The following is a 13,862-nucleotide window of genomic DNA, read 5'->3' on the forward strand; positions in this document are numbered from 1 at the left end:
CACCTGCTCCCTCAAGACCTTCAACTCCAATTTATTCCTAGGGCTCTTCCTAGATTCAACTGAGATTCAGACTATCTCAGGCAAGATACTACATTCGAGTTCTTCCCTCAGAATCTAGTCACTATCTCTAGCCCACAGACCTCATCCAAGTCCACTCACATAACGCTCCAAGGGTGAGAGGGACAAAAGAGAAAACTCACACAAGCACAGCAGCAATCATGGCACTTGAGTGCCTTTCAGTAGTAAGTCATTGCCAAATGAATCAAATGTAAACTCTTAGGGTCTAGAACAAAATAGCTCTAACCTTCCTTTTCAACATAATTTCCCACTACTCTCCTGTATGCCTTCTATGGTTATAGAAAAAAAGGAACTACAAATTATTCTCTGAATATACTTCATATTTTTTCTATCTTTATGCCTTTGAAAAGTTATTTCTATCTAGAATTCTCTTACCTTCCTTACCCCGACTCCTACATGAATTTCTATTTTTACCCACTTTTTAAAAAGCCAGATCACATATTACCTCCACCCTTAAGTAATTTTTATAATCCCCTAAAGCAGGGGTTTCCAATCTTTTCGCTTCCCTGGGCCACACTGGAAGAAGAATTGTCTTAGGCCACACATAAAATACACTAACACTAATGACAGCTGAAGAGCAAAAAAAAAGAAAAATAATAATAATAAATCTCATAAAGTTTTAAGAAAGTTTACAAGTTTGTGCTGGGCTGTGGGTTGGATAAGCTTGCTTAAAAGAATAATAGCTCTCTTCTTGGAAATTTAGTAGTAGTTGTTGTAGTACATTTACATCCTTGTTGATCTATCATTCTCTACCCGTGTTTTTGTTTTAAACCCTCTACTAGGCTGTGGGCAACCTGTGGGCAGGGACCATGCCAGACTGATCCTTGTGTCCTCCAAAGCACATAGTAGCTATCCAATAAATATTTGTTGAATTATTGAGTATATACCAATAATTGAATACTGAGTAAATCCCCAAGTGTCCTGGCTCATGAGCTTTTCCTTAACATAATTTTTTTTTTTTTTTTTTGAGATGGAGTCTTGCTCTGTCACCCAGGTTGGAGTGCAGTGGTGCGATCTTGGCTCACTGCAACCTCCACCTCCTGGGTTCAAGCAATTCTCCTGCCTCAGCCTCCCAAGTAGCTGGGACTACCAGCACCCGCCACCACGCCTGGCTAATTTTTGTATTTTTAGTAGAGATGGGGTTTCACCATATTGGCCAGGCTGATCGCAAACTCCTGACCTTGTGATCCGCCTGCCTCGGCCTCCCAAAGTGCTGGGATTACAAGCGTGACCCACCGCACCCGGCCTCCTTAACATAATTTTTATAGAAGGCTTCATTAGAGACTCAAAAATATATTCATATACATAAGATAATTCAGAATGTATGAATAACTACATATAGTAAAATAAAGGTAAGAGTTAACATATTTAGGATGAAAATATACAGAAGGAGAAAATAACAGCCAACAGTTAGGTATCAGAAAATTTCCATCCTCTTATATAGAGTATATATGTTAAAGCTAAAGGTCAAAAGCCAATGATCAAAACCCGAATAACAATACATAAATTAATGAACAAAGGCCCTGTTCATACATTAGGAAAGACCGTTCTGAAATTAGTCCCTACACCTTGATTACAAAGTGCTTTTGCAAGGTTGTGACTATAAAGCAAAGTACAGACTTACTTGTGGTAAATTAATTACTCAAGGAGAGGAACCGTTTTATTCATCTTTGTACCCCTCTAGTACCTGATGGATTAAATAAAATGATACTTGCAACAATCAATATAGACATTTGAGTGATTGATGTCCTATTTAAAATAAGCCACCTGGCAAGACTGATGCACTTTAACAATATTAATAATTTCTTTAAGAGCATACAACTCTTCTTTACTACCTATGGAATGAAGTTAAAATTGTAACCCTGGTTCAAGTCCACTCACGATTTTCTTTTTTTTCTTAGTCTCACAATTTTCTTTCCTTTTCTGGTCTCATTTCTCACTTCTTTCCTTCAAGCTTCTTATCTGCCAGTCAAATTAAACTTTCTGACTTCATACTTGCTTGCCTCCATACCTCTGGTCATTTTGTAATTTCTTAAGTCATTTATCATTTTCTTCCTTGCGTTAAATCTTATACATAGGTTGTTTTCCTTACTAAATTGTAAGTTCCTTATGTCAGAGACCACGTCTTACGTGGCTTTAACTATATTTTATACCTAGCACCTAGTACCTGGTAGGGGCACACGTGCGTGTACACACAATGTGTTGAAGGAATTAATGTTTGAATATCATTAAAGCTCAAACTACATTATGGCAAGACATAAAAGAAAAACTGACTTCCTTAATTTATAGCAGTGGCTTTTAAATATAAGTGGGCAGAAGAAATACCTGGGGAACTTGTTAAAAATGTAAATTCTTGGTGTTATTTGTCACCAGGAGACTTGAAGGAATACCAAGGCAATTATCTAATAAGAAGCAATTAACTCCTGAACCACAGTTGACAGTAAAAGGAAACAAGGAAGAAATGAATGAAAGAAAAGAACCGGCATACTCCGGCCATTAGAGTCAAACTCTTCCTTTGCAAGAAAGTCATTTATTGGGTATTTTTCCTTCCATCTAACCACTGACTTTTTAAATCAGGATGACAATATGTATGTGTTTATTTGAAATTCCATTCCCTTAAATGTACAAGAGAAATAGTTATTTTTCTTAGAATACTTTTCAGATATTTACCACATTTCAAAATGCACAGTACATAGGCTAAACCATAGAAACTTTATAGAAAAATGTTACTATGTGTTAGGTATTACAAAAGGTAAGCTCTGGTTGTAAAGCAGCAGGGCGCTGAGAGAACTACATATTTTCTTTAGATTACTTCAAACAGGGGATATGAATCATAGAAAGTAAGACTTCAAGTGGTTAAGAAGAGTTTTGCCTTTCAGAAGTTTGTAAAATGCCAGTATTCTAAATTTCATCCACTGAATTCCTTAGGACAATCCAATATAGTATACAATATCTGTCACTTCTCTATCCATTTGGCAAAGACTTCATAGAGACAAATGTTACAGAGGCTCAAAAATGGAGACTACTAGAAAAATGACCAAAGCCAGAAATAAAGTATGTGCTAATTAGAAAACAAATAATTAAATGGCCCAACCCGAATGTTGTGTGATGCTGAAAAGAGATAAATTTCTAAGGCACACCATCTGTTTTACAGTTTATTTTGCTGTACTACAAACCTACTCAATATAGTTCTGCAGTGATCTAGCTGCTAACTCATTTGCACAATTACTTTAGGCCAGAAATAACTGTTGCACAGAATCCTTTGAGAGAGCAACACATTCATGGAAGAGGGCAAACATAATTCATTCTTGGGTGAAGACTATTTTTAGCCCTTAAAGAAAAAAAAAGTTATTCAAAGAAATGATTAGAAATTGCCAAAGGAAAATTAGATAATTTAAAAGGAGAGTGATATCACTATATATTTATGTATCTAAATTTATCTGAGGTTCTTAATGTTTTAGTGCCTAAAGACATGTTGCTGGGACCTCTTCTCTCTATCTGTATTTTCTTCCTTATTTATCTTTTCAGCCCAGTGGCTTTAAGTGGTGTTTGTATACTCATGATTCTCAAATTTATATCTTCATCTTAAATCTTTCCAGTTTCAAACTCATATATTCAATTATCTGTTTGATATCACCACTTGGATGCCACATAAGCATTGCAAACTGATCCTATCTAATATAGAACCTTTGATTCACCATCCGTGTCCCAGAAATAAATCTATTTCTCCTACAGTCTTCCATATCTCAGTAAATGGCACCAACATCCAACCAGTTGTTAGAATAAAATCTAGATGTCACCCTTATTTCCTCTCTTAGCCTCATTCTTCATCGAATCCGTCATCAACTCCTATCAATTATACCTCTAAAATATATCTCAGGTTTTTCTCTTCATCGCTATTGCTACCACCCTATCCAAGTCACTATTATCTCTCAACAGTACTACTTCAACATCTATCTAATTCCCTATTTCCAAGCCACTCCCCCCCACCCCAATAGTCAGAGTGATCTTTTAAGAATATTATCGGCCGGGCATGGTGGCTCACACCTGTAATCCCAGCACTTTGGGAGGCCGAGCCGGGCAGATGATGAGGCCAAGAGATCGAGACCATCCTGGCCAATATGGTGAAATTCTGTGTCTACTAAAAATACAAAAAATTGCTGGGCATGGTGGTGCATGCCTTTAGTCCCTCAGGAGGCTGAGGCAGGAGAATCACTTGAACCCAGGAGGCAGAGGTTGCAGTTGACTTGAACCCAGGAGGCAGAGGTTGCAGTGAGCCGAGATTGTGTCACTGCACTCCAGCCTGGTGACAGAGCGAGACTCCGTCTCAAAAAAAAAAAAAAAAAAAAGAATATTATCATATGCTAATTTATATTTTAAATGTAATTATATCATGTATCCCCAATACCTAACACAGTGTATAGCAAATAATAGATTTATAATTTTTAATAGATGAATACTCTCTAGTAATATTCCCATATATCTCTAATAATTTCTAATCTCAGTTCTCAGAAAAATTTCTGAGATACCTAAAGACCTATCCACTTACTGAATCATTCACTCATTCAGCAATTGTTTGAGTATTGTATTAATTGAAATTAGGTCCAGCTGCACACTATATCGTAAAGATGACAGAAGTCTGTTTCCCGTTCATATAAAAAATTCTGGAGGTAGGCAGTGAAGGATTCACATGGCAGCTCTGTGAGCTATTATGGTTCCTTGCATCTTGTTGCTCTGCCATTTCCAGATTCCACTTTATAATCTAATATGGCTACTCAAACTCACACCTGCATCTACCAGGAAAGAGGAAGGACATGAGAAATGCCATATCAGATCCATTTAAGGACACTTCCCAGAAATTGCACCCACTTCGACTTGCATCTCACTGACCATCACGATAACTAGCAAAGAACACTGGGGAAGAGCCTTTTAACTGGACAGCAATGTTTCCAACTAACAGTCAGAATCCTTATTATTATAGAAGGAGAAGAATAAATACTGAGGGATAAGCAGTAGCCTTTTCCAAAGTTCCTGCTGTGGCCAGGTAATGTTCGGGTGCAGGGATACGAAGATCAGTAAGACACAAGGTCTGTGCTTGAAGCATTAGTCTAATGGCAGAAAACAATATGTAAATAAATAAAATTCCAAACCAGGAGACTGCCACTGTTTGGAGATCATGGCTTTTCTGAGTCCCCAAAGATTTTCTACACCCCAAGAGTTGAAAGAGAGGTGAGTGGTTCCAGTGTTTTACATCACTGAACTATACAGACTGTTTCAATTTTCCACAGCTATAATACTGGACATTTTTCAGCTCTGTTCTATTGGACATGATACTTTCATGACACTGAGCAAAGATCATTTAAACCTCTATAAATATATATAAACAACTGTGACAACAGTTCTAACAGTTTGAAAATGCCCATTTTCAGAAATTTGTCAAGACTCAATGTTTTTTAATTTGACAGAAAATCAAACTAATTGACTGTTTTAAGACTATGAAGAAAACTCCAAGACAAAATAAAAAGAAATGAGCAATGGTAGCATGTCAGAAAGAAAAAAGTAATATTGTAACTTACTGTTAACCACTGGTTATCTAGTAGTTCCTTAGCTGTGATTCTGTGAGCAGGATCTACTTTCATAAGTTGTTTCAAAACACTTTTAGCTAAAAATAAGAAAAAAATCCTGAAAAATCTTATTTAACTACAATTAATAGCATACATTTTACAATTTTTTAGGATTAGGTCAGTATAACAGGAAAGAAAGATGCCAAGTGTACAATAAAAATCATCAGTATAAATGCCTAATAAATATAGTTTAAAGCCTAAAGTGAAGTTTTATTGCCTGGATTACCTAGTTTAATGGTCTATAGTAAACATTAGCTAGATGATCAGCAAATTTCCTCTTTAACTTTTACTATGTATTTTCCGTTTTTGAAAGTTTTGATGATGAACAATCACAGTGAAGATATCGCTATTTCCACAAGTAAATAGTGTTCATTTCCACAAGTAAATTTAATGACTAAACAGAGATTTAAAACATTTTAACCACAGGCCAACTTTCTTATGTTACTTATATTAGCTTTAGTAAATAATAACGCATCTATACTTACCACAGTCACTTATGGAATTCCAGACTGCATTTTCAAAATGTAGTTCTCCTTTTCTTATTAACTCAAAAAGCTTCTCTTCTGAGCTTGCCAAAAAGGGTGGTTCTCCACGTAATCTGCAACAAAGGCAATCACTTTGTTTAAATTTTTTAAATAATAAAAATAAGCCTATTAAAATTAAGTTTCCATAGGACTTGGAAGTAGTGTTGCTTCATATTTAAGGAAAGGATGGGAAGAGATGGGTACCTCCCTGGAAGTAAAAATGGAAACAACAGGGTTTTCCAAGATCAGTGCTAGGCTCTTATTTCAACATTGAGAGGAAGGATCTGGTAAAGGAAGTATGCAAGTATACACTGAAACCTCCAGATCAGCAAATGACCCAAAGCTCTTGCAGGTGGGGAAACACTAAGCTTAAATGGGGTTAAAATACGGGAAGGTGAGTGTAAGTGTACAATAATAGTGGTAGCTAATACAGGAGATACACTTTGGAGTGAGCAACAGGAAGGTAATACCTTAAGGAACATAATGCAAATTGACTCAACTGAAAAATACAATGAGTTATCAGGGTCTAACTAGTTACCAAAGTCTAATGGCCACCTAAGGCTTTTATCCATAGTAAAATACTGTACAAATGTTAGTAATAACAAAAATAAACCAAGACTAACCCCGGGAATTTCTTCTTTTTATTTTTTGAGATGGAGTCTCACTCTGTCTCCCAGGCTGGAATGCAGTGGTGCAATCTCGGCTCACTGCAACCTCCGCCTCCTGGATTCAAGTCATTTTCCTGCCTCAGCCTCCCGAGTAGCAGGGATTACAGGCACGCACCACCTCACCTGGCTAGTTTTTGTATTTTTAGTACAGACAGGGTTTCACCATGTTGGCCAGGCTGGCCTCGAACTTCTGACATCAAGTTATCCACCTGCCTTGGCCTCCCAAAGTGCTGGGATTACAGGCATGTGTCAACGCACCCAGCCCTAACCCTGGGAATTTCTATAGGACCTAAGTCAATGCCAAAAAGCCATTAAAACGGACACAACTCATCAAAAATTGTATATGAAATCAAAAGGGTCTGAATGTGGAAAAATCAGACAATAATTTGACCCTTTGGCCTGAAAGGGTGAAAGCTAAGTGTACCTAATGACCAACATCAGTAAAACCATGAGCACTGTGTATAAAGTGAACATGGACTTGTTTTCACATTCTTTAATACAGAAACAATGTACCTTTAGACTCTTAATAGAACATGGCAAGCCTGTAAAGCTATTACTTCAATAAGTGATCTAGGTCAAAACTACAAGAACAAGCTTAAAAGCTGAGTTCAATTCTTCATAACACAATATCAACAAATGTCAGCCATCCTCATTACTGTCAACTCCAACATCTGAGGGCAATCCTATAGATAACAACCAGATTTGTCCAATGACAACCAGACAGATGTAATTAGATTCATCACAGGGGCAACTCTGTGTCTATTCTTCAACTCTCAGGAATATATTTTTATACTTCATTGATGAAAGAATAAAATGGCATAATTTCATTATACTTCCCAAACTGCTGGTCTACACTGTACATAAGTATAATAATCTCTACATCTTTTAACAGTTACATTTTTACTAATTTTCTTTATATTTTTCTTTATTTAAAAATCTAACTCATGAACATTTTCTGAATAAGTCAAAATTTGATTTTTTCATAGTAATGATGATGATTATGATGACTTTTGTGGGGGGAAAAGTTGCTTTCATCCTAGTGGTTTATCAAACTAGACCAGACAATAGAGCTTTTTCATTTACCAATAGGTTCTTACTAAGTATTTATCAGTATCATATTGTTCTGCAAACTCTTATTTTAATACTTTTTATCTCTCTAGCTCATTCTGATTTCCTCTCTCTCATCCTATTCACCTTGCTATTGTTTAGTTTTAAAATGCAATTTAAAAAGCTATGGAAAACAAAATAGCCAGAAAAATGGCCTTCTGGACAATTACTATCTATTAAAACAGTGCAGGCCAGCAAAGGCCTAGTTCATTGAGCCTGTTATCAACCAGTGATATGCACATCCACCAATTTCTTAGCTGCCTCTGCATTGCCTGACTAGCATGCAACTATAGCTTAAGGGCTACATCTTAAAAAATTCACTTTTTTTTCTGTTCTTTGCAATTTTATTTACATAAAAATGTATCTAATGGTTGGTCAATCAGCAGCATACAAAATTTTATGACAGCAATTTCCTGCACATCCAGAAAAGGGAATCCAAGACACGAAAAATATCTCTTAAAGTCTTCCTACTATTTTGTTGCATTCATAGAAATCAAAACAGCAGAGGACAAAAACTACAAAGAATATTTACTTATGCTAACTTCACCTTGAGAAAGTATGTTATCACCATCTGATTAAATAGAAATGAATCAAAGGTAACGGATAAACAAGAAAATAAACCCCCTGGAGAAGGTAATATGTTTGTGCTCTTGATTAAGGAAATTATAACACCATTGGGCTCAGACAGATTAATGAATAGGCACTGATTAGCTAAGTAAGAGTCTACTGTAAAGAGAAGACAACATTATTATGGTGATATGCAGTCACACTCTGAAGCAGAAAAATTAAAATTATATTTCTAAGAAAGAGAAAGATATTTAAGATATAATACATTCACTTTCCTTAACACCAAGTTCAAACTAAGAAGGCAGCAAACACTACATGAATTGCATAATATTAGATTATATATAGGATGTTTGACTCATGGTTTCTAGAAAGTCTTCAGAGTATAAAAGACTAATTTAAAAGTTATATTTGAATTAAAGACTAAGGCTCAGAATTTTTGCACTATGATTTTAATCAGCACAAAACGATGATCAAAAACTTTTTGAATACTTTTATACTTTATGTAATCTAAGCAACGATGTGTGTTGACCAGCTGAGTTACAGCTACAATCACATCATCCAATTTCTACTGCCTGTATATTCCATTTCACACAACTGTGAAAATGTAACTACTGTGATGTCAATATTTAGAAATGATCTGGAAGAGGCAGTGCATAGTGAAATCTTCAATATGACCATAAAACTAATGTTGCATCAACATAAAAATGTTCACATTCAGCAAGAGGCAGAACAATGGTCACTAACTTTTCAGAACACCTCTTAGAAAATTCACTTTAATTCAATTTAACAAACATATTGAGCACTGAATGTATGTCTATTATACCAGATACCAGGAATGCAAAGATGAATAATCTAAGGTCTCTGTCCTCCATGGAATTTAGAACAAGGAAAACAGATACAATATATATAATATTATAATATGGTTTTTAAAAGCTTTATGAGGATACATAAAAGGGAACAATGAATTCTATTGGATTTACACATGTGTAAACCTTCCTGGTTAAATGTTCCTATTTTATTATTTTTTCTTTCAACATTACTGTTTTGCATGATACCTTAAAATCTTTTGTGGAGCATGAGAAAGTATATACCTAATAAATGTAGGAACTCTGCTATGGTGGGGTAAAGTAGGAGTAGAGAAATAGAAGGCCTTAATGTTTGAGCTGGGTCCACCCAGGAGAGAATCTTACAGAGAAAAAGAATACACACATACCCATACACACTCCAGAGGCATATGACACAGGGTGTGTCCGAGTATTGAAATGTGACCTGGAATCATTATAGCACAGTGTAGGTGCACAGGAATACATATCCAGCCCCAAACTGGAAAGGCATTCTGGAATCAGGTCATGAAAGACCTGCTCTGCTATGCCATGCCATGCCATGCCAAGATGCTCTGACACTTCTCCGTATACAAATACATATATATATGTATTAGATTACATATATATTATATTATAATTATATATATATATATATCAGAGGCTTTTATATATATATCAGAGGATTTTAATCAGGAAAGCAGTATGATCAGATTTGTGATTTGAAAGGACACCCCTGGCAGCAACGTGAAGGACAAACATGGGGAGGGTGACCAGAAGTAGGGAGAACAGTCAGAAAGACCCTGCAATAGTCTAGAAAAGGAATCATAAGGAGAAAAGATACAGGTGAAGAGAAATCAAAGAATAGGTAAGGATATTTCAAAGGAAAAATGAGCAGGACATGGAGTTTGACTGAATCTTGAGAATGACAGAGAAGGAAGAACAAGAATGACTGAAAGCTCCAGCAGCACAACATCATTATGGGAACTGGGAACTGTAGAATACTCCCTAGATCCTAAGTGACCCTCTGCCTAGTTAGTGCCCACTCCCACCTATGCTCTGCCTGTATGGGTAGAACAAGTGCCAGGCCACAGTACCTCCCTACACCTGATAAGCTATAAGTGAACCTCATGAGAAAACACAAAGAAGCTTTTGGTTTGTAGCAAAGGATACGGAAGGTGTTAAGATTTTTCATTTTGCTCAGATCATATTGTTGTATTTATAGATCAATGAAAACCAAAGCTGAAAGTTATAAATTTACAGTATTAAAAAATACCTCAGGGATGTATGTATACCTGACAACTAATAAGAGAGCTTTTAGAATGATCTCCCAATTGGTTTTTAAATCACTTTTTAAAAATATATATTAGTTTTAATTTAAAGTCTATATCACTCTACTGTTAGAAACTATCCACTCATCTTAAAGTGTACATTTAGCAGGCTACTTACAACATGTACATTACGACGCCTATGCTCCAAATGTCACACTGCTGGCTATAGTCGTGGGCACTGATAACTTCAGGGGCTGCCAAACAAGCAGATATAAAATAACATTAATAATACAATAAATGTCTTTTAAATGCTTAAACACAAGCATGAAAAATGTGCTGATGTGCTGTAATTTATTCCCCCATAGGGAAAAGAGAACCAACAGCAGATCTTAAATGAATAATGCACAGGCCTTAACAATTGATGTCACTGTAACCTCACTCCTATCATTTAGCTTCTAATGGAACAATGGTGTAAACTGTATAACTAAATGCACTACCCTTTATTTCTTTAAATTGTTAAGAAATGATTTTGCAAAGATTCTGTAGTTATAGTAGAAGACAACAATATCCCAGCCCTTTCCACAAAATAGAATTAAATATATGCCTTAAGTAGATGTAACATAATGCAGGCCCAATATGTGGAAATCTGGATTCACAGAAAAACTAAGGTACGTGGTTATAAATCACTTTAGTAAAATAATAATAGCATCACTCCTATAACAGAATATGAACTATTTTCTGCATTTTCAAATAAGAAAGCCAAGACAAAGAGAGAGCTCCTATAAAACTGGATCAAAAAGCCAACTAGTCACAGGACATAGACTATACTAAATATATATATGTGTGTGTGTGTGTGTATTTTTTTTTTTTGAGACAGGGTCTCACTCTATTGTCCAGGCTGGAGTGCAGTGGCATGATCACAGTTCACTGCAGCCTCAAACTACTAGGTTCAAGGTATCATCCCACCGCAGCTTCCTGAGTAGCTAGGACTACAGGTGCATACTATCATGCCTGGCTAATTGTTTTTTAAAAATTATTTTAGAGATGGGGTCTTGCTGTGCTGCTCAGGCTGGCCTCAAACTCCTGGCCTCAAGTGATCCTCCCACCTCAGCCTCCTGAATAGGTGGGATTAGTGGCGTGAGACACCACACTCAGCTGGCTGCCTTTTTAAAAAGTCACAAATGACACTGCAGGAACATGTCTATTGTACCTCTATAGCTATGAATCAGATATATTTAAGAAAAAATAAAAAGAAAATAGTTATAAGCAGAAAAATACAATATATGTATATATTTCAATAGAACTTTAAAATTTATACTTTTGCATAAATTGTTATTTGTATGAAGTATGTTAAGAATTCTGTGAGATAGATACGTAAGCATTTGACTCCCTTTGCCAATGAGGAAACTAAGTTTCACATATATTAAGTGACTTGCCTAATGTTACACAGCTGCAGAGTGCCTCCTATGCAAAAGGTGCGTTTTTATTTTAGAAAAGTTTCAATCTCTCCCACCTACACATACCTACACCTACACACACACACACACACACACACACACACACACACACTTTTATGACTACTAAAAGCAAATGGAATTTCATTTCCTCCTTTTTCCTCTGCCTAGTGTTAAAGAGATGAAAGGCAACAAAAAGGGGTCAAAAGATTAAACAGAAGAAAGAATGTACAGATTACTAACACTGAGCAATCTGTCTCCAAATGATTGAAAATTAACTAATATTTCCCTTTAAGCCATTATTTGTATTTGTTAACTCTACTTAAAATCTTTAAATATGGAATTTTTAAAGTTCCAGTTGCTCTATGGCCACATGTCTATGACAAGGGCAAATTCTGTGACTAGATTCAGTGAACGATTTCCACACTGGTGCAGCACACAGCAGGGGACGGGAAATCCTGGTCCTCGCTCTTTCAGAGTCATCTTAATTATCAGGGGCATTTCGATTTGCACTGTCATCCCAGCCCTCATAGGGATGCAGAGGCCAGAGTAACTGCCAAGAAGCCATTTAGGAAGTCAGCAAAGCTCCACAAACCATCTGTCTTCTCTCTTGTTCTCACTTGTTATCAGTGTAGACAACTAATAAGGAGGCATTAAACTCAGGGTGCTTGAATATATTTTCCCCATGTAACTACAGACCAGATGTCTTTTGCCAACAGGGGGATATGAACAGAATCTAAAGTAGCCTTTTCCCAAATAAGATAAAACAATTTCAAAACTTTATGCATCTAGCAGACAAAAAAAGCAACGAATTACGTATACTCTTCAGCAATAAAAATGAATAAACTACTGATACAACATGGATAAGTCTCAAAATCATGATGTAAGACAAAAGAAGAAGACAGACACAGAAGAGTATGTACTGTATGATTCAATTTATATAAACTTCTAGATATGCAAAACTGAGCTGTGGTGATAGAAATCATCAGTGGTTATGGGTGGGGGATTGACTGAAAGGGACACAAAGGAACTTTCTGGGGTGACAGAAATGTTCTATGACTTGAACATAATGGGGTAGTGATTACACAAGTGTATGCATTTGTCAAAACTTAAAATGTGTACATCCTATTGCAAGTAAACTATATTCCTAAAAAGCAGATTTTAAAAAATCTACTAAAAGTACAAAAACAATGTGTCAAAGACCTTTCTTGGTTAATGACTCTCTTAGAGATCAACAGAAGTGGCAAGCAAAAATACACCAACAATATGGAAGATCTGAATCACAAAAATATCACATTTCATTTAATAAGCACACACAGAAATTTTTATGCTCAACAAACCAGGTATACATACATATTTTTAAAATATCCAACGCATCATTTGCAAAAGCTGATCATGTGTTCAGTCACAAAGAAAATTCCTAAAAGTTGAAAACCTTTAAGATGCAATCACCTACCACAATAAAGAAAACCAGACAGATAAACCAAAAGGCTAGGACAACTAACATGCATTCCATGCATTTCAAACACATCTCAACCACCTGGAAAAATTCTAAAAACACTTATAAATAATTTTTCTATTAAACAAGACTAAAATTAAAATTAAAGTATATCAAGAGATTAATCACAATTAGAACACCGTATGGCAAAAAAAAAAAAGTCAAGGTACTCAGAGGAAAATATACAGCCTCCAATGCATTTCATAGAAAATAAGCCTGATAATAAATATGTATTCAACTTAGGAAGTTA

The 13,862-nt window shown here is 35.8% G+C and overlaps 1 protein-coding gene across 57 annotated transcripts in view; it reads right to left on the reverse strand.

The window, feature by feature from the left end:
- The window catches only part of STK33 (serine/threonine kinase 33), a 259,405-nt gene that overhangs the window by 95,016 nt on the left and 150,527 nt on the right, over positions 1-13,862 (reverse strand). For 53 of the 57 annotated variants that reach the window (XR_007062494.1, XM_047427469.1, NM_001289059.2 and 50 more), the window contains 3 exons: positions 10,839-10,914; positions 6,188-6,300; positions 5,655-5,740 (listed from right to left, as the gene is read on the reverse strand). Coding sequence is in view for 55 of the 57 variants with exons in the window: in XM_047427469.1 (XP_047283425.1) it covers positions 5,655-5,740; positions 6,188-6,300; positions 10,839-10,914 (275 nt within the window). In the remaining 2 variants the exon portion in view is untranslated. Of the gene's footprint in view, positions 1-2,574; positions 4,405-5,654; positions 5,741-6,187; positions 6,301-10,838; positions 10,915-13,862 lie in introns of those variants that run through there. The other 4 variants (NM_001352396.2, NM_001352397.2, NM_001352398.2 and 1 more) reach the window with 2 other exon arrangements.

This window comes from Homo sapiens, chromosome 11 (assembly GCF_000001405.40).
Source record: "Homo sapiens chromosome 11, GRCh38.p14 Primary Assembly".
Classification (NCBI taxonomy): Eukaryota; Metazoa; Chordata; class Mammalia; order Primates; family Hominidae; genus Homo; species Homo sapiens.